The following is an 18,967-nucleotide window of genomic DNA, read 5'->3' on the forward strand; positions in this document are numbered from 1 at the left end:
TTTTAGTCATTGCTTTGCAGTTAACTCTGGGCAATGACTGCATCTATCTTTGTCCTACATCAGTTTTTGACCCCTTGTACTTGAGGCCCCCTAAAACAATTATAAAGAACAAAACAATAGGAAGTAATTTTCAACTTACTTTGGCTATCCTTAAAATGTAAGTTATGAATCCTAGCGTTAGTAACATAGCATACTGGACTTCTTTACCATGAAGGGGAGGAAAAATTAGGGAAAACAAGGGTCTTAAAGATTTTACCATTTTAGGGCAGACACAGTGGCTCACATCTATAATCCCAGTACTTTGGGGAGGCGGGAGGATCGCTTGAACCAGGAGTTTGAGACCAGCCTGGGCAACATGGTGAAATCCCATCTCTACCAAAAAACTCCACACAAACTAGACAGACCTAGTGGTGCATGCCTGTAGTCCCAGCTACCTGGGAAGCTGAGGTAAAGGATCATTGAGCCTGGGAGGCAGATGTTGCAGTGAGCTGAGATCATATCACCACACTCCAGCCTGGGTGACAGAATGGGACCCTGGTATCAGCTCTAAGAACTGCGACTTGTACAATTCAAGTCTGAACCAAACCTGGATAGAACTATTGTTCTAATTTCTGGAAAAAATAAAAGGAGGCAGGGCTTATAAACTAAAGAAAACGATTTACCTTGTCAGACACCAATAATGGCACTTTTTCTGTAAAATAGTGACGACTTTTTCTCTTCTTCCACCTCCTCCACTCCTTTGATTCTGTCACCCTCTCCTGCATCTACTGATATCCTCTTACACTGAGATAAGACAGTAATGAATCACTTTAGCAAAAGTACATAGAGCTAAACAAAGATGACATCGTTTGGCATCTCTTGGCACTGAGACACATTGGGATAGGGCACAACAAGAGTTCAGGGTTTCCTGATGTAGAGTTGCTAAAACTGTGGCCTCCACTTAACAGCTAATGTAGGTTTGGGGCAACAGGAATATAAATCTCTCTCGAATGGTTTAAATTGTGCCTTTTTGCCTAAAGAATTTTGTCTTGGCCAGGCACAGCGGCTCACGCCTATAATCTCAGCACTTTGGGAGGCCGAGGGGGTGTGGATCACCTGAGGATGGGAGTTCGAGACCAGTCTGACCAACATGGAGAAACCTCGTCTCTACTAAAAATACAAAATTAGCCAGGTGTGGTGGCGCATGCCTGTAATCTCAGCTACTTGGGAGGCTGAGGCAGGAGAATCGCTTGAACCCAGGAGGCAGAGTTTGCAGTGAGCCGAGATTGCACCATTGCACTCCAGCCTGGGCAACAAGAGTGAAGCTCTGAGTTTTGTCTTTTTCTTTTGTGACCTGCCCTAATTCCTGATGTCAGGTCCCTAGGGTATTTGTGCTATGCCTCATTCGTAGTGACTTTATATTTTATACAGTGTGATTGCACTTTGAACTAAAATAGACCATATCCAGAAACCTGCCGGTGCAGGCTTCCCAGGGCTAAAGAGTATGAGCAGTTTGAATTGCTTTTTGTCTCTTTGCCTTTTTCTTGAATCAATTTACCAAAATAGAGATGTTACCATCAGATTTTTTTTAAAGGCACTAGTTCCCAAAGGCTAGTCTCCATGCCAAGACAATTTTTCTAAAGCATGTATATCTGAAAATGAAAGGATCTTAGATGCTTACCTTATGGTTTCTCTTTAGCTCTAGCATTATTTGTTTACTGGGGACACTATGACTTTTGGTTCAGTCCTATGAATAAGCAGGTCACAAGCCAATTTTTAGCTCCCCTTACACTTTTTAAGTATTTATTAATCTTGACTCCTATGCAAACTGTAGGGAGGCTGGCAGCAGAAGATTCTTATCCTTAGTTATTTATGTGGCTAAGACTCCAAGGCAAATTGCTCTCTCAAACTGTAGGGAGGCTGGCAGCAGAAGATTCTTATCCTTAGTTATTTATGTGGCTAAGACTCCAAGGCAAATTGCTCTCATAAAATCACGCCCCATGAGATGTGATTCTGCCAGATTAGTAGGCCTTAATGTCTTGGGTCTCTTCTCTTCACCCCACCCTTAACCTGGGTTAAGCTTATTCTCTTTGCTAGGCCTTGGATAGCACATTGGGTGAGGACTATTCTGATGTCAATTCTTCTTGTCAAGGATTTAAGAAGCAAACAGAAATAGAGCCAAGGGTGGAGAAACTGAGGCCCCCTGACTTGCCAAGCTGCGACTTCTAATCCTCTTGGCTACCCCACTGGTCTGGTTCAACCTGAGCTCGCACTGATTTTTTTGGATTTGACGTCAAGGCAAACATCATTGCAAACTCAATTCCAGCATGCCAGCTCCAGAGCACTGTAACCTTTAAAAACTTGGGATTTCGCCGGGCGTGGTGGCTCACACTTGTAATCTCAGCACTTTGGGAGGCTGAGGCGGGTGGATCACCTGAAGTCAGGAATTTGAGATCAGCCTGCACAACATGGTGAAACCCCGTCTCTACTAATAATAAAAAAAAGCCGGGCATGGTGGCATGCTCCTGTAGTCCCAGCAACTCGGGAGGCTGTGGCAGGAGAATTGCTGGAACCCGGGAGGTGGAGGTTGCAGTGAGCCAAGATCGCACCACTGCGACAGAGAGAGACTCCGTCTCAAAAAAAGAAAAAAAAAAGACTTGGGATTTCAGGAGAAATGTTATAGTAGCATTCCAGAGGCCCACGCATCAGACATAGACATATGCACTCTTTGCAGCAGAGGGTATTGGCTTCACCCTATCATATAAGTTGGCTCCCTAACTTATATTCTGCAAAGCCCTGGTGGCTAACCCTTTACAACCAAACAGGTCACAGCCAAACAGGTCATCTCAGTTTGAAGATCATCAACAAAGGGGTTAGGTTTGCTCTTGTAGTTGTCACTCCCTTGGGATTGGTAAACAGACCTGCAGAAGTAGTTGTGAAAAGGGAAGCAGAAGTACTGAAAAAAAAAAAAAAAGAGGAGGGCTAGAAAGGAAGTGAGAAAGGTGGAAATGTATGTCTTTTTCAACTTCCTAATGGAAAGATACAAAGAGAAATAAAACTATGACCAGATAGGACCTTCCTTTGGCCACATTTTTATGTGCATAATGTCATATTGCTATCCCCAAATAAATAAAACTATGTATCTATCCATCAATCTATCCAATCTATAGCTCATATATTATTATGACAAATTAAGTTATCCATCAGTATAGCAAACATTTTAAAGCATGTGAAATTAATCTACTTTCCTTTCATGAAGAACACAGGATGGGTAGGCAGCATTCCATCTACTCACATTTCCAACTGTCATTTCAACAGCCATTTTAAGTTACGGAAGAGTCAAGGCTGGGACCTCATGGCATCATTTTCCATGGATTGCTCTCCAAGTTTTTGTGTTCCTGGCCTTTGGAACCCCTTCATCATATTCCGCAGGTAAGACACATATTAGTGGAATTCGAGTTATAATTTGTATGCTTGAAATTGACATTGAAGGCCATAATTTGTAAGTCAGAGAGGCTAAACAGTAACTGTAATGCTTTGTTTTGATCTAACTTGGTGGTTTTGTAATGGTTCTCTCAAACGCTCCACATCTTTCTCTTTCTGTGTTCCATAGCTGGGGTTTCTCTCCTTCCTGCCTGAATATTTTGCCTCCCTAATCCAATTCCTTTACATTATCTTTGCTCTGAAATACTTCTTTCGATGACTTACATTTGCTCTCTATAATTTTACTTCAACTTTTTACTAGTCCTGCTACAAAGACCATTCTCACATTAAGAAAATAATAGGCTTTTTTTTTGTTTTTTTTTTGAGACGGGGTCTCGTTTTGTCACCCAGGCTGGAGTGCAATGGCGTGATCTTGACTCACTGCAAACTCCACCTCCTGGGTTGAAGCAATTATCCTGCCTCAGCCTCCCAAGTAGCTGTGATTACAGGCACCCGCCACCACACCCGGCAAATTTTTTTGCATTTCTAGTAGAAATGGGGTTTCACCATGTTCGCCAGGCTAGTCTTGAACTCCTGACCTCAAGTGATCTGCCTGCCTCGGCCTCCCAAAGTGCTGGGATTACAAGCATGAACCACCATGCCTGGCCCAATAATAGGCTTTTTAAGAAATTCTCAAACCACTGGAGAAATCATACTTTTCTTTGAGATAAGCGTGCATTATGCCCACATCTGCTTTACAGGTGGGGAAACTGAGGCAGAGAATTGCTAGGACTTGTTTTAGGTCATAAAGTCAGTGATGATATTGAAACTATTTCTTTTTGTGTCCTCATATTTGTCAGGCTAGTACTTGAAAACTGAAAACAATAGTGGCTCTGGCTAGAATGACTGATTGTTTTTTTTCCTTTCTTTTCTTTCTTAAACTTTTTTTTTTTTAAGAGACAGGATTTCGGCCGAGCGCAGTGGCTCATGCCTGTAATCCCTGCACTTTGGGAGGCTGAGGCGGGTGGATCACCCGAGGTTAGGAGTTTGAGACCAGCCTGGCCAACATGGTGAAACCCCCTCTCTACTAAAAATACAAAAAATTAGCTGGGCGTGGTGGCAGGCACCTGTAATCCCAGCTACTTGGGAGGCTGAGGCAGGAAAATCGCTTGAACCCCCGGGAGGCGGAGGTTGTAGTGAGCCAAGATTGTGCCACTGTACTCCAGCCTGGGCAACAAGAGCAAAACTTTGTCTCAAAAAAAAAAATAAACCAAACCAAAACAAACAGAGACAGGATTTCACTCTGTTGCCCAGGCTGGACTGCAGTGATGCAGTCATAGCTTACTGCAGCCTCAAACTCCTGGATTCAAGGAATCCTCCCACTTTAGCCTCCCAAGTAGCTAGGACTACAGGCATAGGCCACCACACCCAGCTAATTAAAAACATTTTTTTTTTTTTGAGACGGAGTCTTGCTCTGTTGCGCAGGCTGGAGTGCAGTGGCGCGATCTTGGCTCACTGCAAGCTCTGCCTCCCGGGTTCACACCATTCTCCTGCCTCAGCCTCCTGAGTAGCTGGGACTACAGGCACCTGCCACCACGCCTGGCTAATTTTTTTTTTTTTTTTGTATTTTTAGTAAAGACGGGGTTTCACTGTGTTGGCCAGGATGGTCTCGATCTCCTGACCTCGTGATCCGTCTGCCTCGGCCTCCCAAAGTGCTGGGATTACAGGCGTGAGCCACCGTGCCCGGCCAATTTTTTTTTTTTTTTTTGTAGAGATGGGAGTCTCACTATGATGCCCAGAGTGGTCTTGAACTCTTGGCCTCAAGTCATCCTCCTGCCTCAGTCTCCCAAATCTTTGTTAACTTTTTATTGATATATATGGACTTCCATAGGTTTTTCATTTGCAGATTTTCAAAGGTGTGGTAAACAGAGAAGCCTAGAAGCCTGTTAAAAGTAGGGCTAAGGATCTTGGGACATTACTGACTTTCCCATTCCTTCTGAAGCACCATGGAGGGAAATGAATTTCCAAGGGCCCTTGTGTTCTAATTTCTGTTATTTCAGAGAAGCCTGTATGGAGCATATGTTAGGTGGTCATCCAGTCATATTTAAGGGAACTGTGTGTTACCTTCCATTCCTCTAGCCCAAGTTCTAAGTGTGGGTTTATTCTTGACTTGCTGCATTGGAATCTCTTGGATCATGGGACCAAGGATGGGGCCATGTAAGGTTCTCTTCTTTCTCCTCAGCAGGATCAAAAATTACTGCTGCCATGAAGTCTGTGGCCCTAGTGTTTTGTTTTTGTTTTTGTTTGAGATGGACTTTCACTCTTGTTGCCCAGGCTGGAATGCAATGGCGTGATCTTGGCTCACTGCAACCTCTGCCTCCTGGGTTCAAGCGATTCTCCTGCCTCAGCCTCCCGAGTAGCTGGGATTACAGGCATGCAACACCACGCCCAGCTAATTTTGTATTTTTAGTAGAGATGGGGTTTCTCCATGTTGGTCAGGCTGGTCTTGAACTCCCAACCTCAGGTGAGCCGCCCACCTTGGCCTCCCATAGTGCTGGGATTACAGGCGTGAGGCATGGTGCCTAGCCTAGTGTTTTGTTTTTAATCTTTTCTGTGATTTTATAAAAGAAAGTTGCCTCCAGTCTTAGGTTCACGTAGTTTCTCTATGGGGCATACATCTTGTACATACAGGAAAGGCTACAGACTGGGTAAAATATTGTCTCTTGGTTAATTGGTTAGTCAGCTCAATAATAATTGAGATGTACTTTGTGCAGGGTCCAGTACTGAGAGTAATAAAGGAATTAGGAAACAAGCTCTTACTAGTAGTACATCTTGCAAAGATACACATATAAAATAAATTTAAACACAATTATAGGCCAGGCGCGGTGGCTCACGCCTGTAATCCTAGCACTTTGGGAGGCCGAAGCAGGCAGATCACCTGAGGTCGGGAGTTTGAGATCAGCCTGACCAACATGGAGAAACCCCATCTCTACTAAAAATACAAAAAATTAGCCAGACATGGTGGCGCATGCCTGTAATTCCAGCTACTCAGGAGGCTGAGGCAGGAGAATCGCTTGAACCTAGGAGGCGGAGGTTGCAGTGAGCTGAGATTGTGCCATTGCACTCCAGCCTGGGCAACAAAAGCAAAACTCCATCTCAAAAAAAACCCAGAATAAAACAAAAACAACATAATTACAGAGTAACAGTCAGAACAAGTACAAATAAATCAGCAAAAGCCAGTACTTGTGAACTGATGGGAAAAGAGAGTTGGGTGGAGTTAGTCAATGAGGACTTTCTGGAAAAGGTGAGTGTTGAAGGAAGGGAGGGGCCCCGGTTTGCCGAAAAAGATGAGGAGGTCATTCCAGCAATAATGCCTGAGCAATGGTAGAGAAGAGAAGAATGAGCAAGCTGTAAGGGCCAAGCATTAAACCGGTTAGCTTGTTAAGACTGGAGAATATATGTTAAAGGATAAGAAAAAACAAGTCTGGGAAAATGATAAGGACAGTTCATGGAGAGCCTTAAATGGTTATGAATGAAATTTGCTTTAACAGACATAATGAAAATAACATTTTGAGAAGCTGAGAAACAGACGAACTATAATAAAATACAACTGGAGAGTTAGGGCCAGGCGCGGTGGCTCACGCCTGTAATCCCAGCACTCTGGGAGGCCGAGGCGGGCGGATCACGATGTCAGGAGATCGAGACCATCCTGGCTAACACGGTGAAACCCTGTCTCTACTAAAAATACGAAAAATTAGCTGGGCTTGGTGGCGGGTGCCTGTAGTCCCAGCTACTCGCGAGGCTGAGGAAGGAGAATGGCTTGAACCTGGGAGGCGGAGCTTGCAGTGAGCTGAGATCGCGCCACTGCATTCCAGCCTGGGCGGCAGAGCGAGACTCTGTCTCAAAAACAAAACAAAACAAAACAAAACTGGAGAGTTAGAACAACAGGGAATCTGCTGCAAGATTCTCAGGAGAGAAAAAAAAATGCCTAGGTCCTAACTGTGGCTCTGCCAATTATTAGTGTATGACCTTAGGCAAGTCCTTGAATTTCTGTGTGCCTGTTTCCTCAAATGTGAAATGGGGTAATGGTGTCCGCCTCACAGAGTTGTTGAGAATAATTAAATGAATTAATATATGAAAAGTGTTGGCCAGGCATAGTGGCTCACACTTGTAATCCCAGCACTTTGGGAGGCCGAGGTGGGCGGATCACTTGAGGACAGGAGTTCGAGACCAGCCTGGCCAACATGGTGAAATCCCATCTCTACTAAAAATACAAAAAAATTAACGGGTGTGGTGGTGGGCACCTGTAATCCCAGCTACTTGGGTGGCTGAGGCAGGAGAATTGCTTGAACCCAGGAGGTGGAGGTTGCAGTGAGCCGAGCTCACACCATTGCACTCCAGCCTGGGCAACAAGAGTGAAACTCCATCTCAAAAAAAACCCAAAACAAAAGAAAAAAAACAAAATGTTTAGTAAGCACTTGATAAACATTCAATTACAGTTAATTAAATTATTATTATATGGGCTGGGCGTGGTGGTTCATGCCTGTAATCCCAGCCCTTAGGGAGGCCTAGGCAGGTGGATCACCTGAGGTCAGGAGTTTGAGACCAGCCTGGCCAACATGGTGAAACCCAGTCTCTACTAAAAATACAAAAATTAAAAAAAGAAAAAGAAATAAAAAGAAAAAAAAGAAAAAATAAACAAGAAAAACAAAACAAACAAACAAATAAAACTAAAAATACAAAAATTAGCCGGGCATGGTGGCGGGCACCTATAATCCCAGCTACTTAGGAGGCTGGGGCAGGAGAGTCGCTTGAACCCGGGGGGCAGAGGTTGCAGGAGCCAATATCATGCCATTGCAATCCAGCCTGGGCAACAAGATCGAAACTCCATCTCAAAAAAAAAAAAAGTGTTTAGTAAGCACTCGAAAAACATTCAATTACAGTTAATTAAATTATTATTATATGGGCTGGGCACAGTGGTTCATGTCTGTAATCTCAGCCCTTTGGGAGGCCTAGGTGGGCAGATCACCTGAGGTAAGGAGTTTGAGACCAGCCTGGCTAACATGGTGAAACTCCATCTGTACTAAAAATACAAAAATTAGTCGGGCATGGTGGTGGGCGCCTGTAATCCCAGCTACTGAGGAGGCTGGGGCAGGAGAATTGCTTGAACCCATGAGGTGGAGGTTGCAGTGAGCTTAGATCACGCCACTGCACTCCAGCCTGGGTGACAGAGGAGACTCCAGCTCAAAAAAAAAATTATTATATGTTATTTAAATTATTATTTCTCTGACCAGTAAGTGGTCATAGAACTACATATATATAAGAAAAGGCCCCATCTCACACCTTAGTTTGAAAGGATTGCAGCTTTTCAATCTGCCTTTCTGAAAAGTATGTAGGATTCAGAGGCTAAGAGGCCAGGCCCAGAGTCCAAAACTGTGCTGCCCAGTACAAGAGCCACTAACCACACGTGACTACTGATCACGTGAAATGTGGATAGTCAGAATTTAGATGTGCTATAAATGTAAAATACATGCTGGATTTCAAAGTTGGTGTGAACAAAATAAGTAAAATATCTCATTAATTTTTTTTTTTTTGAGACGGAGTTTCACTCTTTTTGCCCAGGCTGAAGTGCAGTGCTGTGATCTCAGCTCACTGCAACCTCCGCCTTCTGGGTTCAAGTGATTCTTCTGCCTCAGCCTCCAGAGTAGCTGGCTAGGATTACAGGCATGCGCCACCATGCCTGGCTAATTTTTGTATTTTTAGTAGAGACGGGATTTCACCATGTTGGTCAGGCTGGTCTTGAACTCCTGACCTCAGGTTATTCACCTGCCTTGGCCTCCCAAAGTGCTGGGATTACAGGCGTGAGCCACCGTGCCCGGCCTCATTAATATTTTTTATATTGATTACATGTTGAAATGATAATATTTTGGATATGTTGGGTTAAATAAGATGTGTTTTCATTTGTTTCCTTTTTACTTTTTTGTGATGTGGCTACTATAAGATTTAATACTACCTAGTGGTTCATAGTATGTTTCTGCTGGACAGTACTGGTCCATTACAACATACTACATTCAGTTTTGGAAATTACTGGGTTCTATCTGAGAAATTTCTATAAAGAAATATGAAGATTATGGATAAATCTCCTTGCCTTTGACACTTTAAATAACATTTTTAAAATTGTTATTTCATTTTTATTTTTTTAGAGACAGGGCCTCACTCTGTCATCTGGAGTGCAGTGGCACCATTACAGCTCACTGCAGCCTCCATCCACCTCCTGGGCTCAAGTGATCCTCCCGTCTCAGCCTCCCGAGTAGCTGGGATCATAGGCACACGTCACCACACCTGGGCCCACTTTTTTTTTTTTTTTTTTGAGACAGAGTCTCGTTGTCGCCCAGGCTGGAGTGTAGTGGCGTGATCTTGGCTCGCTGCAACCTCCGCCTCCCGGGTTCAAGCGATTCTCCTGTCTCAGCCTCCCTAGTAGCTGGGACTACAGGCACATGACACTATGCCAGGCTAATTTTTGTATTTTTAGTAGAGATAGGGTTTCACCATATTGGCCAGGCTGGTCTCGAACTCCTGACCTCGTGATCCACCTGCCTCAGCCTCCCAAAGTGCTGGGATTACAGGTGTGAGCCACCGTACCTGGCCCTGGCCCCCCTTTTTAAAGATAATTTCAGTTACATTATATATATATATATATATATATATATATGCATTTGTATATATACCTCCTCAATTTGCAAGGTATCTACAGAACTGAGAGAGCCACAGATAGTTCACCATTAAAGAGGCCATGATTGCTGAAGGATCTTTTAGTTTAAAAAGAAACAAAGATGAAAATGGGGAAAAGGTGAAACATCCCATTTTATTTATTTATTTATTTATTTATTTATTTATTTTGAGACAGAGTCTCACTCTGTCGCCCAGGCTGGAGTGCAGTGGCGCAATCTCGGCTCACTGCAACCTCCACCTCCAGGGTTCAAGCGATTCTCCTACCTCAGCCTCCCGAATAGCTGGGACAACAGGCGCCCGCCACCAAGCCCGGCTATTTTTTTTTTTTTTGTATTTTTAGTAGAGACGGGGTTTCACCATATTGGCCAGGCTGGTCTTGAACTCCTAACCTTGTGATCCGCCCGCCTCGGCCTCCCAAATTGCTGGGATTACAGGCGTGAGCCACCGCGACCGCCCGAAACATCCCATTTTAAACATTAAATCATGGAAACAAAAATACAGTTTTTGAAATCACTCCCTCAAAAGTCCAAATCTCATTGGTTGAAGTAACCTAGATTATTAAAGGTTTTTTTTTTTTTTTTTTTTTTTGAGACGGAGTCTTGCTCTGTCGCCCAGGCTGGAGTGCAGTGGTGTGATCTCGGCTCACTGCAAGCTCCGCCTCCCGGGTTCACGCCATTCTCCTGCCTCAGCCTCCTGAGTAGCTGGGACTACAGGCGCCCGCCACCACGCCCGGCTAATTTTTTGTACTTTTAGTAGAGACGGGGTTTCACCATGTTAGCCAGGATGGTCTCGATCTCCTTGACCTCGTGATCCGCCCGCCTCGGCCTCCCGAAGTGCTGGGATTACAGGCGTGAGACACTGCGCCCGGCTATTAAAGGTTTTATAACAAAACTTTCAAATCATCCTTTGAATTTGCTACTTAACAGGAACTAAGGCCAGAGAGCCTCAAGTCAGGGCTTTTCGCTGACCTGGAGGCAGAATCCAGTTTGGGGTTTTGCTTGTAACTGGTATTTTATGCATGCGACCCTGGCTGAACTGACCAACTGCGTAGGCTTCAATTTCCCGAGGGCCCCTTATGCCTTTCCTTCCTCTGATCAAGCCCTTCCCGGCTCCTTCCAGTTGGAAGGCCGCCCCCAGTCCTGAGCGGCGCCGACAGGTGCAGCGCCCGCCTCCAGCCCTGCGCTCGCGCGAGCAACCCGACGCCCTCCCGCCCCGCCGGCCGCGCCCTCGTCCTCGCCGCTCCGCCCTCTGCCCAGGCGTGCGCGCGCACTCCACGGGGGCGCGCCCGGCCGGCGGGGCCGCGCACGCAGCCGCCGCCACCACTTCCCCCTCTCCCTCCCTCCTTGCGGGCCCTCCTCCCCTTCCCTCCCCTCCGCCCCCTTCCCCGTAGGCAGCCCGCCCGCCAGTCCGCCCGCACCGCCTCCTTCCCAGCCCCTAGCGCTCCGGCTGGGTCTCTCCCCCGCCCCCCAGGCTCCCCCGGTCGCTCTCCTCCGGCGGTCGCCCGCGCTCGGTGGATGTGGCTGGCAGCTGCCGCCCCCTCCCTCGCTCGCCGCCTGCTCTTCCTCGGCCCTCCGCCTCCTCCCCTCCTCCTTCTCGTCTTCAGCCGCTCCTCTCGCCGCCGCCTCCACAGCCTGGGCCTCGCCGCGATGCCGGAGAAGAGGCCCTTCGAGCGGCTGCCTGCCGATGTCTCCCCCATCAACTACAGCCTTTGCCTCAAGCCCGACTTGCTGGACTTCACCTTCGAGGGCAAGCTGGAGGCCGCCGCCCAGGTACAGCGACCCTCGGGCCCCGGGGCAAGCTGCGGGGCGAGCAGTTAGGCCGCGCCCGCGGGCTGGACTCAGGGCCCGGCCGGGAGGGCGGGCGGGCCTCGGGTCGGGGCTGGGCGGCCGCAGGGCGCCGGGTTCGGCGTGCTCTGCCTTGCTCTGTTGGGGCTGGGGCTGGGGCTGGGGCTGGGGCCGGGGCAGGGACCGTGGCCGGAGCTGAGGCTGGGGCTCGGGCTGGGGCCGCGCTGCGGGAGCTCTGGGGAGCCGGCGGCCCGGCCATTGCGCCCCTCCCCGGCGAGCACACCTGTGTGGGGCTTTCCCCCCCGCCCCGGACCCTTCTGGGCTTGATAGTGTTCCGGGGGAGGCTGGAGGGTGTTGGGGGAGGACGGAGAGGTCATGGGAGTCCCCGCTCTGCCTCAACCACCTGACTCAGTTCTTTCTTTGGTTTCTCTCTACACCTCTCGGGTGATAGATTGGAGGGGGTGGTCATTTGGGACTCTGGCCGCCGCGTTGGAGCGACGAGGGGAGCTTCTAGAAGGGGGGGGAGAGGGTGAGAACGAGAATGTTAATCCCAGGCAGCCTCGCTGACTTCTCCCCGCCTGCTCCAGCCCAGGGGCTGGGTTTCCAAGATGATCCGCCCCCTCCCCCTTTCCCTCAAGTGACAGTGCAGCAGTGACTTTGTTCTCTCTTAACCTCCAGAGAAGCTGCGGGAGGACCCCATCTCCGCTTTTCCACCTATCTTCCTAGCTTTGCGGCCTTCGAAGCTGGTGGATTTATTGCTACCGTGATGGTTGCTTAGCAGTACCTTCCTCTCCCAAGAAGCTGGCTGGGCGCGGTGGCTCATGCCTGTAATCCCAGCACTTTGGGAGGCTGAGGCGGGCGCACTTGAGGTCAGGAGTTCGGGACCAGCCTGACCAACATGGTGAAACCCCCGTCTCTACTAAAAATACAAAAATTAGCGGGGCGTGGTGGCGGGCCCCTGTAATCTCAGCTACTCGGGGGCTAAGGCAGGAGAATCACTTGAACCCGGGGGGCAGAGGTTGCAGAGTCGAGATCGCGCCACTGCATTCCTGCATTCCAGCCTGGGCGACAGAGTGAGACTCCGTCTCAAAAAAAAAAAAAAAAAAAAAAAGGAAAGAAAGAAGCTATTAGTTATAACATACCACCGGTGAAAATATTCCATTACTCTTCACTGCAGTTTTTGGTGAATCATACTCCACTCCCTCCTCCCGCAGCATTATCTGAAGTATTGTTTGATTTTGGAGACCATCAGTATAGATGCCCGACAAACATCCTGCACAATAGGCATTTATGATACTATGTAATAGGAAGCCTGTAATAAAAATGGGAACTGTTTGATAGTTATCTGTAAATAGAATGTTAGTAAATATATTTTGTTTCATTTCTCTTCCTACTGCAGTCTGGGGTCGGGGGAAATCAGTAGGCTCCCACCTTAAAGAACATGGTGTATATAGTAATGAAATGAAGTGAAGACTGGTGCTCGAATGAATTGAATGTTGGTAGTTGTCTTTGAAAAACCAAGAGGGTACGGTACTCAGATTAAAAATATGTCTAAAAGTACAGAATTTAAAAGTATAGTTATCTATACTTATCTGTGATAGATAACTATAGCTGTCACATTTGGAGCACTGGTGTGAAAGCAAGAGGGCTCTAGGATTTGGCAGCATCAAAAGGCAGAACTTAGTGAAAATCAGGTGATTTAAAATTTTTCCATTAAGAATATGAATCAGAACGAATGCATCTTGGGTCTAAATTAGAATTTGAGAAGGTTATTTGGGAAACTGTGGCTTAAGCCAAGTGACTAGAGTGTTTGATATATATTGGCAAGGGGCAGATGGGAGGGATTGTAAACAGTAGTGTGTCTTGTGACTTGGCAAACCTTTGGGAAAGAGAACCTAGTGATGAATGAGTTCGCATTATGTGAAAAGACTAACATTAAAAAAAACATTTGTTTCTTTACCCTATTAGTTGCCAAAATGGATTCATAATTTTTGGAGGCAAACATATTTTGGGAAAAGTCTAGAAAAAAGTACAGATTTTTAAATGATTACTTATTAAAGAAGTGAGTTTGATTTAAGTATCGGGATAGAACAACAAGCAGTGACATGTTTCTCCTTACCTCTTTTCTACTTTTGTGGAAGACTGGTTTGTGCCATTGAGTGAGCATATGGTAATATACTAGATATTAGCAGGGACTTGTTAATTTGATGCAAGGAAATAAATAAAAAATAAATAAATTTTTTAAGTAGCATGAACTTTTCAAAACACTTTTTTTCCAGAAATTCTTTTCAGGCTAGATGGCAACACAAAGATGACACAATAGTGAATTCCAACAGGTTTTATTAAAGGATGATTGGACTTTTAAATTGTACTAATTGACATGTTTGGAAGGGTAAAAGAGGAATTAACATTGGTAAGAAGTAAAAAGCATATATTAATGTTTTTGAAATCCATGAATTAGAGCAATACGTTTAAATTGTGGCATTAGGTGGTATCTTGTGGGCATTTTAAAATATTGACAAAATTCTTTTTTTTTTTTGAGATGGAGTCTCGCTCTGTCGCCCAGGCTGGAGTGCAGTGGCACGATCTCGCCTCACTGCAAGCTCTGCCTTCCGGGTTCACGCCATTCTCCTGCTTCAGCCTCCCAAGTAGCTGGGACTACAGGTGCCCGCCACTGCACCCAGCTAATTTTTTGTATTTTTAGTAGAGACAGGGTTTTACTGTGGTCTCGACCTCCTGACCTCGTGATCTGCCCGCCTTGGCCTCCTAAAGAGCTGGGATTACAGGCGTGAGCCACTGTGCCCGGCGACAAAATTCTTATCTGTAGAAACCTATATTTATGACTGATATTGGATCAGTTTCCTAACAGTTGGAATCACATAACACAAAACATGCAAGTTGCTTAGTTGCTTTAGTTACAAAATTTTACGATAAGCCCAGAGTATTTGTGTAGGTTACATATTAGAAACTTAGTGGATTTATTTTATTTTTTATTTTTATTTTTTTGAGATGGAGTTTCGCTCTTTCTCCCAGGCTGGAGTGAAGTGGTGTGATCTCGACTCACTGCAGCCTCCACCCTGTGCCCCTGCCGGGTTCAAGCGAGTCTCCTTGCCTCAGCCTCCTGGGTAGCTGGGACTACAGGTGTGTGCCATCACGCCCAACTAATTTTTGTATTTTTAGTAGAGATGGGGTTTTGCCATGTTGGCCAGGCTGGTCTCGAACTCCTGACCTCAGGTGATCCCCTTCCCTTGGCCTCCCAAAGGGCTGGGATTATAGGCATGAGCCACCATGCCCGGCCAACTTAGTGGATTTTTAACCTGGCCTGGGGTGTGGACTGCTGCAGAAGGTGAAGAAATTAGTCCATGTTCAGTGATTTAAAAATCAATTGTCTTGGCCGGGCACGGTGGCTCACACCTGTAATCCCAGCACTCTGGGAGGCCGAGGCGGGCGGATCACGAGGTCAGGAGATCGAGACCATCCTGGCTAACACGGTGAAACCCCATCTCTACTAAAATACAAAAAATTAGCTGGGCGTGGTGGCGGGAGCCTGTAGTCCCAGCTGCTCAGGAGCCTGAGGCAGGAGAATGGCGTGAATCTGGGAGGCGGAGCTTGCAGTGAGCTGAGATTGCGCCACTGCACTCCAGCCTGGGCAACAGAGCAAGACTCTGTCTCAAAAAAAAAAAAAAAAAAAAAAAAAAAGGCTGGGCGCGGTGGCTCACGCCTGTAATCCCAGCACTTTGGGAGGCAGAGGCGGGCAGATCATGAGGTCAGGAGATCGAGACCATCCTGGCTAACCCAGTGAAACCCCGCCTCTACTAAAAATACAAAAAATTAGCCGGGCGTGGTGGCGGGTGCCTGTAGTCCCAGCTACTCGGGAGGCTGAGGCAGGAGAATGGTGTGAACCCGGGAGGCGGAGCTTGCAGTGAGCCGAGATCGCGCCACGCACTCCAGCCTGGGTGACAGAGCGAGGCTCCGTCTCAAAAAAAAAAAAAAAAAAAAATTAGTTGTCTTTCACATTAGTGTGGTCTAGCTGGTTTTGAAAATTTGTTATTATACAGAAGTTTCTCTAGGCCCAAAATTTATTTCATTCCCTGTCCCCTCCCTTTACACTGGATACTTGAGAGCAGTGGACTTTTGTAGATATTTCATATTTTGATCCTCTCCGTTTGTGGATAATTAATTAAAATGAATTATAAGTTTATGTGTGTGACTACTATTTATGATTATGAGTGTGTAGTGGTTGGTACAATAATTGGGTATTCTTTTTTTTTTTTTTTTTTTTTTGAGATGGAGTCTTGCTCTGCCACCCAGGCTGGAGTGCAGTGGCGGGATCTTGGCTCACTGCAGCCTCTGCCTCCCGGGTTCAAGCAATTCTCCTGCCTCAGCCTCCTGAGTAGCTGGGACTACAGGCACGCGCCGCCATGCCTGGCTGATTTTTTTGTATTTTTAGTGGAGATGGGGTTTCACCATATTGGCCAGGATGGTCTTGATCTCCTGACCTCATTCCATCTTCCTCGGCCTCCCAAAGTGTTGGGATTACAGGCGTGAGCCACCGTGCCCAGCTGGGCTTTCTCTTATGGAAATATTTTACCTGTGCCAGAGAAACTAAGTTTATCATTCAAGGCCAGAAATCAGGATATCCTAGCCAACCCCTGGCCTCTACTAACAAAATATACATGTTGGAGATAACTAAATTGGCACTAAGTGAATAGTTGCCAATATAGTAGTTTGTTTGGCAGATTAAAAATTTGGCACCTGAATGGTTATTGTCAATTCTGTGTTACAAATTTTTTGCCCAAATTCTGCATATTTTCTCTCTTTTTTTTTTTTTTTTTTTTTGAGATGGAGTTTCGCTCTTGTTGCACAGGCTGAAGTGCAGTGGCATGATCTCGGCTCACCGCAGCCTCTGCCCCCCCAGGTTCAAGCAATTCTCCTGCCTTAGCCTCCCAAATAGCTGGGATTACAGGCATGCGTCACCACGCCCAGCTAATTTTTTCTGTTTTTAGTAGAGACGGGGTTTCTCCATGTTGGTCAGGCTGGTCTCGAACTCCCGACCTCTGGTGATCCACCCACCTCAGCCTCCCAAAGTGCTGGGATTATGGGCGTGAGCCACCGAGCCACCGTGCCTGGCTTCTTTTTTTTTTTTTTTTTTTTTTTTGAGACGGAGTTTTGCTCTTGTTGCCCAGGCTGGAGTGCAATGGCGCGATCTCGGCTCACCGCAACCTCTGCCTCCCAGGCTCAAGTGTTTCTCTTGCCCCAGCCTCCAGAGTAGCTGGGATTACAGGCGCGCACCACCAAGCCCAGCTAATTTTTTGTATTTTTAGTAGAGAGATGGTTTCATCATGTTGGCTAGGCTGGTCTCAAACTCCTGACCTCAGGTGATCCACCCGCCTTGGCCTCTCAAAATGCTGGGATCACAGGCATGAGCCACCGTGCCTGGCCATTTTCTGCATATTTTCTATGTAATCATTTTGGCCAACACTGTGGCTCACTCCTGTAATCTTAGCACTTTGGGAGGTGGAGGTGGGAGAATTGCTTGAGCACAGGAGTTTGATACCAGTGTGGGCAACATAGCAAGACCCTGTCTCCAGGAAAAAAAAAAGGAAGAAATTTTCTTAAAAAAAATTCATATATATAAAATTAAATTCAAAATATTGGTGATAAGGAATTGAATTTGTTCAGATTTTCTGTTTTTTGAAATGTATCTGTGAGGAAAGAAGTATAACAGTTTTGTATGCTAAGCTTTGTCTAATTCATCTGGCAATGAATTCTGCAGTGAATTTTCCAGATAACTGAAGTTTACCCTTTGAGGCCCTTAGACATTTTTAAAAAAGTTTACTAGGCTGGGTGTGGTGGCTCACGCCTGTAATCCCAGCACTTTGGGAGGCTGAGGTGGGTGGATCATGAGGTCAGAAGTTTGAGACCAGCCTGGACAACATGGTGAAACCCCGTCTCTACAAAAAAATACAAAAATTAGCCGGGCGTGGTGGCACATGCCTGTAATCCCAGCTACTCGGGAAGCTGAGACAGGAGAATTGCTTGAACTCGGGAAGCGGAGGAGCGGAGGTTGCGGTGAGCTGAGATCACGCCATTGCACTCCAGCCGGGGTGACACAGCGAGACCCTGTCTTTAAAAAAAAAAAAAAAGTTGACTAATCTGAATGGAAATATTTCTAAAATACATTATCTTTTTATGCTTTGCAATTCCTCATAGTGTAGGTTTGTTTCATTGTTTTTTTTAAATACTGAACTTTATTTTGAACATCTCTCATTGACCCCAAACTATGTACTATAATTTATCAGTTTCATATCTGTTTTTTTTTTTCTTTTTTTTTTCTTTTTGAGACGGAGTTTCGCTCTGTTGCCCAGGCTGGAGTGCAGTGGCACAATCTCGGCTCACTGCAACCTCCGCCTCCCAGGTTCAGGCAGTTCTCCTGCTTCAGCCTCCCTAGTAGCTGGGATTACAGGCATGCACCACCACGCCTGGCTAATTTTGTATTTTTAGTAGAGACAGGGTTTCACCATGTTGGCCAGGCTGGTCTTGAACTCCTGACCTCAGGTGATCTGCCTGCCTCCGCCTGCCAAAGTGCTGGGATTACAAGTGTGAGCCACCGCGCCTAGCCATATCTGTTCTTTTTTTTTTTTTTTTTTTTTTTGAGACAGAGTCTCACTCTGTTGCCTAGGCCAGGCTGGAGTGTGCAGTGGTGCGATCTCGGCTCACTGCAACCTCCACTTCCCTAGTTCAAGGGATTCTTCTGCCTCAGCCTCCCTAGTAGCTAGGATTACAGGTGCATGCCACCACACCTGGCTAATTTTTGTATTTTTCTAGAGACCAGGTTTCGCCATGTTAGCTAGGCTGGTCTCAAACACCCGACCTCAGGTGATCCGCCTGCCTCTGCCTCCTAAAGTGCTGGGATTACAGGCATGAACCACCGCGCCTAGTCCATATCTGTTTTCTTTTTTTTTTTTTTTTTTTTGGAGACAGAGTCTTGCTCTGTCGCCAAGGCCGGAGTGCAGTGGCGTGATCTCAGCTCACTGCAACCTCCGCCT

The 18,967-nt window shown here is 46.4% G+C and overlaps 1 protein-coding gene across 4 annotated transcripts in view, besides 4 other annotated features; it reads left to right on the forward strand.

Moving 5' to 3' along the window:
- Positions 1,925-2,426: an enhancer, noted in NCBI's record as "H3K4me1 hESC enhancer chr17:45598943-45599444 (GRCh37/hg19 assembly coordinates)". NCBI's record gives its function as "activates a minimal SCP1, AML or CMV promoter by ChIP-STARR-seq in naive H9 embryonic stem cells {active_cell/tissue: H9 hESC(naive)}" and the evidence as "EXISTENCE:reporter gene assay evidence [ECO:0000049][PMID:30033119]".
- Positions 3,281-18,967, forward strand: part of NPEPPS (aminopeptidase puromycin sensitive) — a 100,344-nt gene continuing 84,657 nt past the window's right edge. For 2 of the 4 annotated variants that reach the window (NM_001411130.1, NM_006310.4), the window contains exon 1: positions 11,456-11,903. In NM_001411130.1, the coding sequence (NP_001398059.1) occupies positions 11,649-11,903 (255 nt within the window). In that variant the 5' untranslated portion in view covers positions 11,456-11,648. Of the gene's footprint in view, positions 3,412-11,455; positions 11,904-18,967 lie in introns of those variants that run through there. The other 2 variants (NM_001330257.2, XM_017025373.1) reach the window with 2 other exon arrangements.
- Positions 11,966-12,115: a silencer, noted in NCBI's record as "silent region_8628". NCBI's record gives its function as "represses an Ori minimal core promoter by ATAC-STARR-seq in GM12878 lymphoblastoid cells {active_cell/tissue: GM12878}" and the evidence as "EXISTENCE:reporter gene assay evidence [ECO:0000049][PMID:35858748]".
- Positions 12,146-12,325: a silencer, noted in NCBI's record as "silent region_8629". NCBI's record gives its function as "represses an Ori minimal core promoter by ATAC-STARR-seq in GM12878 lymphoblastoid cells {active_cell/tissue: GM12878}" and the evidence as "EXISTENCE:reporter gene assay evidence [ECO:0000049][PMID:35858748]".
- Positions 17,006-17,207: a silencer, noted in NCBI's record as "fragment chr17:45614024-45614225 (GRCh37/hg19 assembly coordinates)". NCBI's record gives its function as "represses an EF-1alpha promoter that drives an FKBP-Casp9 reporter gene in an ReSE screen in K562 erythroleukemia cells {active_cell/tissue: K562}" and the evidence as "EXISTENCE:reporter gene assay evidence [ECO:0000049][PMID:32094911]".

Source organism: Homo sapiens, chromosome 17 (assembly GCF_000001405.40).
Source record: "Homo sapiens chromosome 17, GRCh38.p14 Primary Assembly".
NCBI lineage: Eukaryota > Metazoa > Chordata > Mammalia > Primates > Hominidae > Homo > Homo sapiens.